A 15,162-nucleotide genomic window follows, 5' to 3' on the forward strand; every position below is an offset into this window, starting at 1 on the left:
GCAGAACTCCTCACGGAAGAGAAAAAATTCTATAGTGAGAGAAGCTAAACAATACACATATAAACAAGCAAATACTGCATGGCGGTAAGCGCCATGAAGGAAAACAAAACAAGGTAAGAAGTGGCTCTGTGTTACACAAGGTGATGAGGTAACAGCTCAACACAGGCCTGAAGGAAGAGGGATCCATGTACATATCTGCAGAAAATGCCTTCCAGCCAGAGGGAACTGCTTATGAAAAGTCCCTGAGGCAAAAGCATGCTTAGCATATTTGAGGAATAGTGGAGAGTCAATGTGGCTGCAGTGAAGAGAGAGAAGAAAAGTAGTGAGGGCCAGATCCTGTTGGAATTTTTATTTATTGGTTTATTTTTAGAAACAGGGTCTCGTTCTCTTCCCCAGACCGGAGTGCAATGGCACAACCTTTCCTCACTGCAGCCTTGATCTCCTGGGCTCAAGCGATTCCCCCACCTCAGCCTCCCGAGTAGCTGGGATTTCAGATGTGCACCACCATGCCCAGGTAACTTTTGTATTTTTTGTAGAAACAGTCTTACTATGTTGCCCAGGCTGGCTTCAAGCTCCTGGGTTCAAGGGATAGTCTCTTCTTGTCTCCCAAAGTGCAGGGATTATGGGCATGATCCAGCCTGACCCTCATGTAGGACTTTTTTTTTTTTTTTGAGACGGAGTTTCACTGTTGTCACCCAGGCTAGAGTACAATGACTTGGTCTTGGCTCACTGCAACCTCCGCCTCCTGGGTTCAAGCAATTCTCCTGCCTCGGCCTCCCGAGTAGCTGGGAATTCAGGCATTAGCCACCACGCCTGGCTAATTTTTGTATTTTTAGTTGACAGGGGGTTTCACCATGTTGGTCAGGCTGGTCTCGAACTCCTGACCTCAAGTGATCTGCCTGCCTTGGCCTCCCAAAGTGCTGGGATTATAAGCTTAAGCCACCATGCCTGGCCATGTAGGACTTCTTTGATCATTGATGATACTTTGGATTATTCTGAATGAGATGAGAGATCCTGGAGAGCTTGAATAGAGGAGTGACAATTTTTTATTTAAGTGACACATTTATTTAGGTTTAAAAAGGATCTTTTGGCTGCTATGTTGAGAACAGATGGCAAAGCAGCTAGGGTGGAATCACAGAGACCACTAGAAGGCTAAAACAATAACACAGGTCAGGATTATTGCGGCTTGGTAAAGCGGAAGTGTAAAAGGTGAACACAGAATGGGTATGTTTTGGAGGTAACACCAACCAAGATTTTCTGATGGAAAAGTGGTGGGATATGAGAAAATGAGAAGAGTCAAGAATGAACCAACATTTTTCACTGAGCAACTGGGGAGATGAAGCTGCCATGCACTGAATTGGGGAAGGTTTTGGGAGAGACATGTTTTGGAAGAGAAGGAATCAGGGTTTGTTTTTGGACATGTTGAGCCTGCGATGTCTATTAGATCTCCAGGAAGGCATGTTGAGGAAGTAGTATAATTATAGGAGCTTGAAATTTAGGGGAACAGTGCATGCTTGAGAGACGCTTGAGAATTATCAATATGGAGATGTTATATAGAGATAAAATTTGCTGCTTTATTGGGCTGGTTACCACTTTGGGCAACTGGTCCCCGGTCTTGCTGGGTAAACTCTGAGGAGCTAGGTAGAAAGTGTGTCAGAACTGTCTGAGTGAGACATGGTACAAAGGACTAGCCATGAGCTTTTGTTCCCCTTGGTCAAGGATTGTTCATTGGGGTATTAATTCTCTCAAACCTCCAGATTTCTTTTCTTTTCTTTTTCCTTTTCTTTTCATTATACTTTAAGTTCTGGGATACATGTGCAGAACATGCAGGTTTGTTACATAGGCATACACATGCCGTGGTGGTTTGCTGCACCCATCAACCTGTCATCTACATTAGGTATTTGTCCTAATGCTATCCCTCCCCTAGCCCCCAACCCCCTGACTGGCCCCAGTGTGTGATGTTCTCCTCCCTGTGTCCATGTGTTCTCATTGTTCAACTCCCACTTATGAGTGAGAACATGTGGTGTTTGGTTTTCTGTTCCTGTGTTAGTATGCTGAGAATGATGGTTTCCAGCTTCATCCATGTCCCTCAAAGGACATGAATTCATCCATTTTTACAGATGCATAGTATTCCATGGTGTATATGTGCCACATTTTCTTTATCCAGTCTATCACTGATGGGCATTTGAGTTGGTTCCACGTCTTTGCTATTGTGAATAATGCTGCAATAAACATACATGTGCACGTGTCTTTATAGTAGAATGATTTATAATCCTTTGGGTATATACCCAGTAATAGGATTGCTGGGTCAAATGGTATTTCTGGTTCTAGATCCTTGAGGAATAGCCACACTGTTTTCCACAATAGTTGAACTAATTTACACTCCTACCAACAGTGTAAAAGCATTCCTAACTCTCCACATCATCTCCAGCATCTGTTGTTTCCTGACTTTTTAATGATTGCCATTCTAACTGGTGTGAGATGGTATCTTATTGTGGCTTTGATTTGCATTTCTCTAATGACCAGTGATGATAAGCTTTTATTCATATGTTTGTTGGCTGCATAAATGTCTTCTTTTGAGAAGTGCCTGTTCATATCCTTCGCCCACTTTTTGATGAGGTTGTTTGTTTTCTTCTTGTAGATTTGTTTAAGTTCCTTGTAGATTCTGGATATTAGCCTTTTGTCAGATGGGGATACATTGCAAAAATTTTCTTCCATTCTGTAGGTTGCCTGTTCAGTCTAATGATAGTTTCTTCTGCTGTGCAGAAGCTCTTTAGTTTAATTAGATCCCATTTATCAATTTTGGCTTTTGTTGCCATTGCTCTTGGCATTTTAGTCATGAAGTCTTTTTCCATGCCTATGTCCTGAATGGTATTGCCTAGGTTTTCTTCTAGGGTTTTTTATGGTTTTAGGTGTTATGTTTAAGTCTTTAATCCATCTCAAGTTAATTTTTGTATAAGGTGTAAGAAAGGAGTCCAGTTTCAGTTTTCTGCCTATGGCTAGCCAGTTTTCCCAACACCATTTATTAAATAGGGAATGCTTTCCCCATTGCTAGTTTTTGTCAGGTTTGTCAAAGATCAGATGGTAGTAGATGTGTGGCATTATTTCTGAGGCCTGTGTTCTATTCCATTGGTCTATATATCTGTTTTAGTACCAGTACCATGCTGTTTTGGTTACTGTAGCCTTGTAGTAGAGTTTAAAGTCAGGTAGCATGATGTCTACAGCTTTGTTCTTTTTGCTTAGGATTGTCTTGGCTATACAGGCTCTTTTTTGGTTCCATATGAAATTTAAAGTAGTTTATTCCAATTCTGTGAAGAAAGTCAATGATAGCTTAATGGGGATAGCATTGAATCTATAAATTACTTTGGGAAGTATGGCCATTTTTACAATGTTGATTCTTCCTATCCATGAACATGGAATATTTTTCCATTTATTTGTGTCCTCTCTTATTTCCTTGAGCAGTGGTTTGTAGTTCTCCTTGAAGACGTTCTTCACATCCCCTATAAGTTGTACTCTTAGGTATTTTATTCTCTTGTAGCAATTGTGAATGGGAGTTTACTCATAATTTGACTCTCTGTCTATTATTGGTGTATAGGAATGCATGTGATTTTTGCACATTGATTTTATATCCTAAGACTTTGCTGAAGTTGCTTATCAGTTTAAGAAGATTTTGGGCTGAGATGACAGGGTTTTCTAAATATACAATCATGTCATCTGCAAACAGAGACAATTTGACTTCCTCTCTTCCTATTGGAATACACTTCATTTCTTTCTCTTGCCTAATTGCCCTGGCCAGAACTTCCAACATTGTGTTGAATAGGAGTGGTGAGAGAGGGTATCCCTGTCTTGTGCTGGTTTTCAAAGGGAATGCTTCCAGCTTTTGCCCATTAAGTATGATATTGCCTGTGGGTTTGTCATAAATAGCTCTTACTATTTTGAGGTACGTTCCATCAAAACTTAGTTTATTGAGAGTTGTTAGCATGAAGGGGTGATGAATTTTATCGAAGGCCTTTTCTGCATCTATTGAAATAATCATGTGGTTTTTGTCATTGGTTCTGTTTATGTGATGGATTATGTTTATTGATATGCATATGTTGAACCAGCCTTGCATCCTAGGAATGAAGCCAACTTGATTGTGGTGGATAAGCTTTTTGATTTGCTGCTGGATTCAGTTTGCCAGTATTTTATGGAGGATTTTTGCATCAATGTTCATCAGGGATATTGGCCTGAAATGTTCTTTTTTGTGTGTGTCTCTGCCAGGTTTTGGTATCATGATGCTGGCCTCATAAAATGAATTAGGGAGGAGCCCTTCTTTTTCTATCATTTGGAATAGTTTCAGAAGGAATGATACCGGCTCCTCTTTGTACTGCTGGTAGAAGTCGGGTGTGAGTCCCTCTGGTCCTGGGCTTTTTTTGGTTGGTAGGCTATTAATTACTGCCTCAATTTCAGAACTTGTTATTGGTCTATTCAGGGATTCCACTTCTTCCTGGTTTAGTCTTAGGAGGGTGTATGTATCTAGAAATTTATCCATTTCTTCTAGATTTTCTAGCTTATTTGCATAGAGGCATTTATAATATTCTCTGATGGTAATTTGTATTTCTGTTGGATCAGTAGTAATACCCTCTTTATCATTTTTTATTGTGTCTATTTGATTCTTCTCTTTTTTCTTATTAGTCTGGCTAGTGGTCTATTTTGTTAATCTTTTCAAAAAACCAGCTCCTGGATTCATTGAATTTTTGAAGTGTTTTTTGTGTCTCTGTTTCCTTCAGTTCTGCTCTGATCTTAGTTATTTCTTGTTTCCTGCTAGCTTTTGAATTTATTTGCTCTTGCTTATCTAGTTCTTTTAATTGTGATGTTAGAGTGTCAATTTTAGATCTTTCCCACTTTCTCCTGTGGGCATTTAGTGCTACAAATTTCCCTCTAAACACTGCTTTAGCTGTGTCCCAGAGATTCTGGTACGTTGTGTCTTTGTTCTCATTGGTTTCAAAAAACTAATTTATTTCTGCCTTAATTTCGTTATTTACCTAGTAGTCATTCAGGAGCAGGTTGTTCAGTTTCCATGTAGTTGTGCAGTTTTGACTGGGTTTCTTAATCCTGAGTTCTAATTGGATTACACTGTGGTCTGAGAGACTGTTTGTTATTATTTCCATTCTTTTGCATTTGCTGAGGCGTGTTTTACTTCCAATTATGTGGTCAATTTTAGAATAAGTGTGATGTGGTGCTGAGAAGAATGTATATTCTGTTGATTTTGGGTGGAGAGCTCTGTAGATGTCTATTAGGTCTGCTTGGTCCAGAGCTGAGTTCAAGTCTTGAATATCTTTGTTAATTTTCTGTCTTGTTGATCTGTCAAATATTGACAGTGGGGTGTTGAAGTCTCCCAATATTATTGTGTGGGAGTCTAAGTCCCTTTGTAGGTCCCTAAGAACTTGCCTTATGAATCCAGATGCTCCTGTATTGGGTGCATATATATTTAGGATAGTTAGCTCTTCTTGTTGCATTGTAATGCCCTTTGTTGTATTTTTTGATCTTTGTTGGTTTAAAGCCTGTTTTATCAGAGACTAGGATTGCAACCCCTTGTTTTTTTTTTTTTTTTTTTTTTTTTGGCTTTGCATTTGCTTGGTAAATATTCCTTCTTCTCTGTATTTTGAGTGTATGTGTGTCTTTGCACGTGAGATGGGTCTCCTGAATACAGCACACCGAAGGGTCTTGACTCTATCCAATTTGCCAGTCTGTGTCGTTTAATTGGGGGCATTTAGCCCGTTTACATTTAAGGTTAATGTTATGTGTGAATTTGATCCTTTCATTATGATGCTAGCTGGTTATTTTGCCCATTAATTGATGCGGTTTATTCACAGTGTTGATGGTCTTTACAATTTGGTATGTTTTTGCAGTGGCTAGTAATAGGTTTTCCTTTCCATATTTAATGCTTCCTTCAGGAGCTCTTGTAAGGCAGGCCTGGTGGTGAAAAAATCCCTCAGCGTTTGCTTGTCTGTAAAGAATTTTATTTCTCCTTCGTTTATGAAGTGTAGTTTGGCTGGATATGAAATTCTGGGTTGAAAATTCTTTTCAAGAATGTTGAATATTGGCCCTCACTCTCTTCTGGCTTGTAGAGTTTCTGCAGAGAGATCTGCTGTTAGTCTGATGGGCTACCCTTTGTGGGTAACCCGACCTTTCTCTCTGGCTGCCCTTAACATTTTTTCCTTCATTTCAACCTTAGTGAATCTGAAGATTATATGTCTTGGGGTTGCTCTTCTTGCAGAGTGTCTTTGTGGTGTTCTCTGTATTTCCTGAATTTGAATGTTGGCCTGTCTTGCTAGGTTGGGAAAGTTCTCCTGGATAATATCCTGAAGAGTGTTTTCCCACTTGGTTCCATTCTCCTCGTCACTTTCAGGTACACCAATCAAATGTAGATTTGGTCTTTTCACATAGTCCCATATTTCTTGGAGGCTTTCTTTGTTCCCTTTCACTCTTTTTTCTCTAGCTTGTCTTCATGCTTTATTTCATTATGTTGATCTTCAATCTCTGATATCCTTTCTTCCACTTGATCAATTCAGCTATTGATACTTGTGTATGCTTCAGGAAGTTCTTGTGCTGTGTTTTTCAGCTCCATCAGGTCATTTATGTTCTTCTCTAAACTGGTTAGTCTAGTTAACAATTCCTCTAACCTTTTATCAAGGTTCTCAGCTTCCTTGCATTGGGTTAGAACATGCTCCTTTAGCTCGGAAGAGTTTGTTATTACCCACTTTCTGAAGCTTACTTCTGTCAATTCATCAAACTCATTCTCCATCCAGTTTTGTTCCCTTGCTGGCAAGGAGTTGTGATCCTTTGAAGGAGAAGAGGTGTTCTGGTTTTTGGAATTTTCAGCCTTTTTGCACTGATTTTCCCTCATTTTTGTGGATTTATCTACCTTTGGTCTTTGATGTTGGTGACGTTCAAATGGGGTTTTTGTGTGGACATCCTTTTTATTGATGTTGATGCTATTCTTTTCCGTTTGTTAGTTTTCCTTCTAACAGTCAGGCCCCTCTGCTGCACGTCTGCTGAAGTTTGCTGGAGGTCCACTCCAGACCCTGTTTGTCTGGGTATCACCAACGGAGGCTGCAGAAGAGCAAAGATTGCTGCCTCCTCCTTTCTCTGGAAGCTTCATCCCAGAAGGGCACTCAGCAGATGCCAGCCAGAGCTCTCCTGCATGAGATGTCTGTCAACCCCTGCTGAGAGGTGTCTCCCAGTCAGGAGGCCCAGGGGTCAGGGATCCACTTGAGGAGGCAGTCTGTCCCTTAGCAGAGTTCAAGTGCTATGCTGGGAGATCTGCTGCTCTCTTCAGAGCCAGCAGGCAGGAACGTTTAATTCTGCCAAAGCTGAGCTTACAGCTGCCCCTTCCCCCAGGTGCTCTGCCCCAGGGAGATGGGAGTTTGATCTATAAGCCACTGACTAGGGCTGCTGCCTTTCTTTCAGAGATGCCCTTCTCAGAGAGGAGGAATCTAGAGAGGCAGTCTGGCCTCAGTGGCTTTGCTGAGCTGTGGTGGGCTCTGCCCAGTTCAAACTTCCAGACAGCTTTGTTTACACTGTGAGGGGAAACCTGCCTACTCAAGCCTCACTAATGGTGGGCACTCCTTCCCCAACCAAGCTCAAGCATCCCAGGTCGACTTCAGATGCTGTGCTGGCAGAGAGAATTTCAAACCAGTGGATCTTAGCTTACTGGTCTCCGTTGGGGTGGGATCTGCTGAGCTAGACCACTTGGCTCCCTGGCTTCAGACCCCTTTCCAGGGGAGTGAACGGTTCCTTCTTGCTGGGGTTCCAGGTGCTGCTGGGGTGTGAAAAAAACTCCTGCAGCTAGCTCAGTGTCTGCCCAAATGGCTGCCCAGTTTTTGTGCTTGAAACCCAGGGCCCTGGTGGTATAGGTACCCAAGGGAATCTCCTGGTATATGGGTTGCAAAGACTGTGGGAGAAGTGTAGTATCCGGGCCAGAATGCACCATTCCTCACAGCTTAGTCCCTCATGGCTTCCCTTGGCTAGAGGAGGGAGTTCCCCAACCCCTTATGCTTCCTGGGCAAGGCAACGCTCTACCCTGCTTCAGCTTGCCCTCTGTGGGCTGCACCCACTGTCTAACCAGTCCCAATGAGATGAGCTGGATACCTTAGTTGGAAATGCAGAAATCACCTGCCTTCTGCATTGATCTTGCTGGGACCTGCAGACTAGAGCTATTCCTGTTTGGCCATCTTGCCAACCACTGCCTTTTTTTTTTTTTTTTTTTTTTTTGGATAGGGTCTCACTCTGTCACCCAGGTGGGAGGTGCAGTGGCACAGTCTCAGCTCACTGCAACGTCCACTTCCTGGGCTCAAGCTATCCTCCCACCTCAACCTCCTGAGTGATAGGAACACATGTGCGCACCACCACGCCTGGCTTTTTTTTTTTTTTTTTTTTTTGCATATTTAGTAGAGATGAGGTTTTGTCATATTGCCCAGGCTGGTCTTGAACTGCTGAGCTGAAATGAACTACTCACCTTGGCCTTCCAAAGTTCTGGGATTACAGGGTAGGCCACTGTGCCCGGCTAAAGTTCCATATTTTTTTGTGTGCACTAGAATGCCTGATCATGTTCCCTTAGGCATCCCATATGATGGTTGCTATGGTAGGCTTAATCATGGCCCCCAAAGGTATCCAGGTCCTAACTTTGGGAACCTATGAATATTACTTTATATATATATATATGTATATATATATATGTACATATATATACACATATATATACATGTATATGTATATATATAATGGACTTTTCAGAAGTGATTAAGTTAAACACTTTGAAATGAAGAGATTGTCCTTGATTGTCTGGGTGATCCCTAAGTGCAATCCCACATGTCCTTATAAAAGGGGTATTTGACTACACATTGAAAAAGAAGGCCATGTGATGAAACCAGATTCAGAGAAACAAGGTGCTACACCACTGGCTTTGAGGATGGAAGAAGGGGTCATGAGCCAAGGAATGTATGTCAAGAACCAGAAAAGGCGAGGAAGGAGATTCTCCCCTTGAGCCTCCAGAGGGAACATGACTGTGCCAACACCTCGATTAGCCCTGTAAGACTTAGTTTGAATTTCTGGCACCCAGAACTGTAAGGGAAAAGTTTTATGTTGTTTTAAGCTACCATGTTTTGTGGTAATTTGCTATAGCAGCCATCAGAAACGAGTACAGTGACAGAGAACGGTGTTTCCAGGTTATACCTGCATGTTGTAGCAGCAATGACCTGAGTAAAAAGTGGACTAAGAGGACATGAAGCAAGGAACAAGTCTGGACCAACATCCATTGGTCCCTTCACATTGCTTGGATCCATCCTTGCCCTGTTTTAAATCTAGTGCATCAGAGAGCCTTCAAGGTGCTGTGTGTGTGGTCTCAAAATCTATTAAATACTCAATTCAGGAGGATTGATGGAACAAGCTGGAGCCTCTGTGGCAGCCACTGCTCCTAGGCCATATTTGGTATTTATCGTCTTCTTCCTCTACTATCCTTTCCATATTTTTCTCACCTTTGGCTTCACTTTAGTAGGTATAGGATGCTTGTCTGGTGGGGTGACCTGACTTTCACTCTGAGGGATTGGAGCCCATGGTTAGTTTTTCCTTGTTGGATCATGATTCCTACAATTGCCCATTTATGGTTATCACTGAGCATGGAAACACCAAGAAATACCTCTGATTCCAGATGCTCTGACTATACAACATTAATCTTAGCTCCTCATAATAACCCGGGAAAAGAGTTATATTAATAATTCCTGAATCCACCTTTTGGCCCATTGGCTTTAAAAATCAAACATGACTAGATGCTAATAGTAGCTCCAGATTCAATAGAACTTTTACTGATTGCCCTTGTGGAAACATCCTTCTCCTACTGCTCATAAAAAAGAACCGATCACAACCTAAGACTGCAGGAATAGGAAGCACAAATTCACAAGTGAGTCCTTGAGAATTATGGTGAGAGGGGTCAATGCTACTCCCACCCTCTTGGTTCCCAGAATCATGTATTCTAGCTATTGGGTATACAACATCGTATGTCAGCTGTTGGTTCATTGTGTATACTGCATTCCAGAGGAATGCAACCCACTTCTGCAGGATATGTTTTTCTTGATATGATGCCATAGCTGAGCCTTTAATTGACCATTCCACCATTCTACCATTCTGGCTTCTTCCAGGTGATTTAGTATATAGTAGGACAAATGAATTCCATAGTTATATGCCAGAAATCACCTCCTCTTCACTGTAAAACAGGTCTGTTGGTCTGATACAATATAATATGTAAATTTCATGTCAATAAAGCAGGCATTCTATAAGACCTGGAGCAGGGGGTGCTGGAAGAGGCACCACAGGCAGCGAAGGCAAACCCATACCCAGAGAGAGAAATATCAAATCTGGTGAGGATGAATCATTGGATATGAAGGGATCCAGCATATCCTAGCCAATCGTAATCCTGAACGCCACAATCCCAAATGTTGAAATTCCAAAAGGTCTGGAAAAACTAATTTTTAAAATTATTTAAAATACACTTATTTATATTTTTAAAAGGGGATTTATTTAAGAAACACATAAAAACACATCTGAACATTTCATGGGCCACTTTAAGCAATAAAATGGACAATAATAACACACATATTTTTGCAAGCATAAATACTCAGGTATGCTAATGACAGTCACACAGATATAACAGGTATGAGTAGGTAAACTGTATGGTAAAGAAATAGGTCAAAAAGGGAAATGTATAAACAAATGTCACTATGGTTGGTAATTGTGTGCACTCAGCTTTATAATTGTGGTCATCTGAAGTACTGTGATGAACAACCTAAGTCTTTTGACAAGATCAATCAAAAATCGCCATGGGTCACCACTGCATATGGGGTTACCCAAAGAGCTGAGGTTTCGAGAAATTTCATCTTTCACAAATGCAGATGTACGAAAAGAAGGTCCCTTAATTTATTGAGAAAGTTTCAATGTTTTTATGTATACACATAATGCTCACACACAAAGTTGTGATAATGAACTTTTATGAGGTCAAGTTTGTAATAATGCGTAAGACAAATTAGAACTCTCAAAAAATCTCTACACAATGTCTACCTCCCATATCAGAAATGACGCGAAGATGAAACACATAGCATAAAAAATTGTAAAAAATAATGTTCACAATTTAAAGTAGTGAAAAAAAGCTAAAAAAGAAAAGAAACAACATAAAAAGAAAATTTAACATATGAAAAAGTATATTACAGGAATAGATTATGGGCATTTGCATGGCGATCATTCATAAGACCTAGCTAACTTTCACGATCATCAACTATATGTTGAAATCTTGCATCATGATGAATAGCTGCTATTTTTCTTTTTGGATATGGCTCTTCTTGGAGAATACATTCATATTCATTTTCTACGTGGCATGGCTCTGAACTTTTTCTATGAGTCACCGACATGAACGTTCCCTATTAAATTGTCCAATATTCTGTGTCATGCTTCTGTGTTGTTTTGGGTACTTGGAAGTCCATACTGCATGCATTCATATACAGGTCACAAATTTGGTGCAAACAATACTGGTGATTGAACAGCAACACCCGAAATAATGCTTTACCAGGTTTCTCTGTATTTTCCAATCCAGTCAAGTTGACACCTAAAATGAAGCCCACAAATCTGCCCCTTGTTAACTTGGCACCCATAGACATCTTCTTAAGCCGTACTTAATTTCCAAATAAAGACAACAACAAGGTAATAGTTCTAACATGATGCAACTATTCTGTGATTGTGATCTTCAGAATTTTAGGCATCAGGGATTTTAGACTTTAGGGATTTTGATTTTTCGTGATTTCAACATTTGGGATTACAGCGTTCCAGACTGTGTCTTGCAAGATTATGATCCAAACCTCCCCTTCTAGTAATATAGTAATCACGTGATCAATAATAAATGCTACCTTGTGGCTGGCTGGTTTCATTACAATAATAGTGCCATAGCAAGTGCCTAGTGTCAGTCTCTGTAGCTGTCAGGAAGGGCATTCATGAATGCCAGTGGCTGGAAGAACCATAACAAGAGGAATGCCATAATCTTGGGCTCATTGATAGCACCATCCCTACAACAATGGCCACTCATGGGCCCATTGCCCAAGTACTGAGGTGGCTGAGAGGAGATGCTGGCTTAGATCCATAGGACAACTCATCCTGCCTACCTGTTCAGTGCCTCCTCTTCAAAGATACAGGTGTGTTGCTCCCATTTCCATGACTCTTTCGCAAACTTTCTTTTATCTGGTCTTTCAATCTTTCTCTTCCCAGGATCCCTACTAGCCAGCCAAGCCATTTTTCACTTCTCTAGGTTCTGTGTATGTCTGTACCTCAAGCTGTTTTTTGCTTTATTTAAACTGAATGACCAATTACACTGCTGAAAGTCTTGCTGACTGGGAGGATTTTCCTTTTGCACTGTCCTTTGGGACTACCTCTGAGTATTTCTGAAATGTGATAGCTGTACTTACTCAGATATCCATCTCTATGCCAGGCTGGAGATTTTTCTTTCCTCTGTCAGTTGATTGCAGGGGAATCTCCATGAGGTCATAGGTGAGAACTGAGGTCGAGGAATCTGTGCAATAGAGCTAGGTAACATGAAGGTCTGTGTAATCTATTCATGTAAACTTATTTGTACCTTTTGGGTCTGCTTGGATCCAAGTCTAAATGTACCATTTCTATTGTACAATGGATTGCCTGATCTCATGAAGTGGTGAATCTGATAATACCCATCTCATGATCTGTAATTTTATGTCCCATGCTCAGGTACTTCACCTCTGCTAAGGCCCAGAACTACACCAGATGCTGCTTTGCAAATGGTAACTATCTCTCTGCCATAGATGGCATGGCCTTACTCCAGAACCCTTGGGTCTGTGATGTGACTCTTCTGTTGAACCTTGGCAGAGACTCCACACAGAATTTGTATCTGCCATAGCTATCTTTAGCACTACTGATCTGATGAGTCATATGTCCTGAATGACAGAACACTTTTCACTGCATCACAGCCTGAATCTGCTGCAGATTCTCTTGCTCTGGTCCCACTGAAAGCTGGAAGCATTCTGAGTCACTCAATAAATGTGTTGAGAATTAGTCCCAAGTATGGTATATGCTGCCTCCAGAATCCAAGGAAGCCTATTTAGTGCTGTGCCTGTTCTTAGTGGTAGGAGAAGCAAAGTACAACTTGTCCTTTACCTTGGATGGGATTTCTCAGCATGACTCAGACTGTTGGACCCAAAAACTAGACCAATGTGGAGAGTATCTGAATCTCCTTGGGATGTAGCTCCCTCCCTCTGGTATACATGTATTTTTACTACAGTGTCCAAACTACTTGCCACTTCCCACTTATTAAGTTCAATCAATATGAGGAACTGAATGATGCTCTCCGGAATGTCAATATGATCAAGGCCCTTTGGACTTCATTGTAACAGAGAACAGGAGATATTCCTGGGAACTAACCCTAGATAAAACAGTGGATATGTGCCACTCTCCAGCCTGAAAAAAAAGCAAGCTATTTTTGATCCTCTTTATTGGTGTTTGTTGAAGAAAAAGGTTTTACCAGATTAATTGCAAGACCTAGTAGACGCTCCATGATTATTTTATAGATGAAGAAACTGAAGCTATGGAGGGTTATAAAACTCCAAGCGTTGACCAGGCTAGGGCACCACACTACAGGATCAGAGACATCTGGGCCATCATGAAGTAGCCCAAAGTTACCTGGAGAGAGAGAAAAAAATGATGAAGGAAAACTGCTGACAGATTTTGCTTGCTGCACAGAGAATCACAGATCCTGGCGCTGAGGGTACTTTGGAAGTCACCTAGCACAACCTCTTACCCTGACAATGAAGTCCCTCTGAAACAGTGTTGGATTTAAGGTTATGCGTTTCATATAGTGAGGAGGAAAAAACACAGGTGTGCAGGTTTGGAGACATACTGTATCCAACAGCTATTGCAGTTAATAAAACACCCCAAAACTTACTAGCTTAAACAACACTTTTTATATTTTCTTTGAACCTATAGGGTTGGCTGACGGGTTATACTATGTTGAGCTGGAATCAGAAGGGCCTGCTTGCTCATATATCTGTAGTCAGCTGCAGGTTGGCTAGCTGGATGGCTTGCTGATCTTAGCTGGGCTCTCTCACTCATCTGTGAACAACTGGACTGGCCTGGTCGTTCTCTGTCTGTCTCATCCTCTAGGCTACCCAAGCATATTCTTATGGTAAAGTCAGAGAAACAAGATGAGTATAAGGGCAAGAAGTATAATTGGCTTGTATTCCATATGTTAGCAAATGGAGTAACAATGGCTCATTAGCCAAATATGTCATATGAGTCCAAAGTCTGGCAGAGCAGAATTCCCTGGCCACAATGGGAGCAATGAAGACTCAGGGCCTTGATGCAGGCAATCTACCACATATAACTCAATTCCAATCCCAGCCATGGCACTTATCAGATAACTCACTCTTCTGAGCCTTAGTTTCCCTAACTAAAAAAAATAAACAATAATAACATCTATTTCAAAGCATATTATAATGATCAAATAATATTTATATAATGTATCCAGTATAGTGCTTGGAACACGAGGGACCTGAAAAAAATGGATGGTTCTTCTGATTATGAAGAGCGGTGTCTTGAGTTGATAGGCCTTTTGCTATCTACAGCTCAGGATGCTCTGCGGAGGCTGCCAAGGTAGCCCAAAGCTCCAGTCTCTCCCCAAACACTTGGTCGAGGGGGGCTAACCTTCTGAGGACCCACGCTGGCCACAGCTAAAGGGTCTTAGGACTTTGGAGACTGAAGCTTACCACATCCCTGGGATGCAATATTCTCCAATGTGCTGCCCCCATCCTGACCCAGCCACCAGATGGAGAAGATGGGGAAAGCTCTGTGCCTCCTTCTGAAAAAGGCAGTATGAGTATTGGTAAGAGTCAGGCAGGCCAGCGTTTAAAATTTGGCTTGGCCACTTACTGGCTGTGTAACTTTGGGTGACTTAGGTAATGTCTTTAATCCCAGTTGTGTTCTATTCCACAGGCCTTATGTGAGCACTAATAAGGTGACATCTGTTTGGGATACAGGATTACAAGGATGATGTATATGTGGGGAAATGGAGGGTCGGAGACAGAGATAATCATCAGGAAGACATGGGCATGATTCTAT

General features: G+C 41.4%; 1 long non-coding RNA gene across 1 annotated transcript in view, besides 1 other annotated feature; it reads left to right on the forward strand.

The window, feature by feature from the left end:
* The window catches only part of XLOC_008559 (uncharacterized LOC105378427), a 44,833-nt gene that overhangs the window by 236 nt on the left and 29,435 nt on the right, over positions 1-15,162 (forward strand). Inside the window, exons 2-3 of the long non-coding RNA NR_131214.1 lie at positions 5-113; positions 397-514. This is a non-coding gene — a long non-coding RNA (uncharacterized LOC105378427). The remainder of the gene's footprint in view (positions 1-4; positions 114-396; positions 515-15,162) is intronic.
* Positions 13,055-13,114: an enhancer, noted in NCBI's record as "active region_3759". NCBI's record gives its function as "activates an Ori minimal core promoter by ATAC-STARR-seq in GM12878 lymphoblastoid cells {active_cell/tissue: GM12878}" and the evidence as "EXISTENCE:reporter gene assay evidence [ECO:0000049][PMID:35858748]".

Source organism: Homo sapiens, chromosome 10, assembly GCF_000001405.40.
Source record: "Homo sapiens chromosome 10, GRCh38.p14 Primary Assembly".
Lineage (NCBI taxonomy): Eukaryota > Metazoa > Chordata > Mammalia > Primates > Hominidae > Homo > Homo sapiens.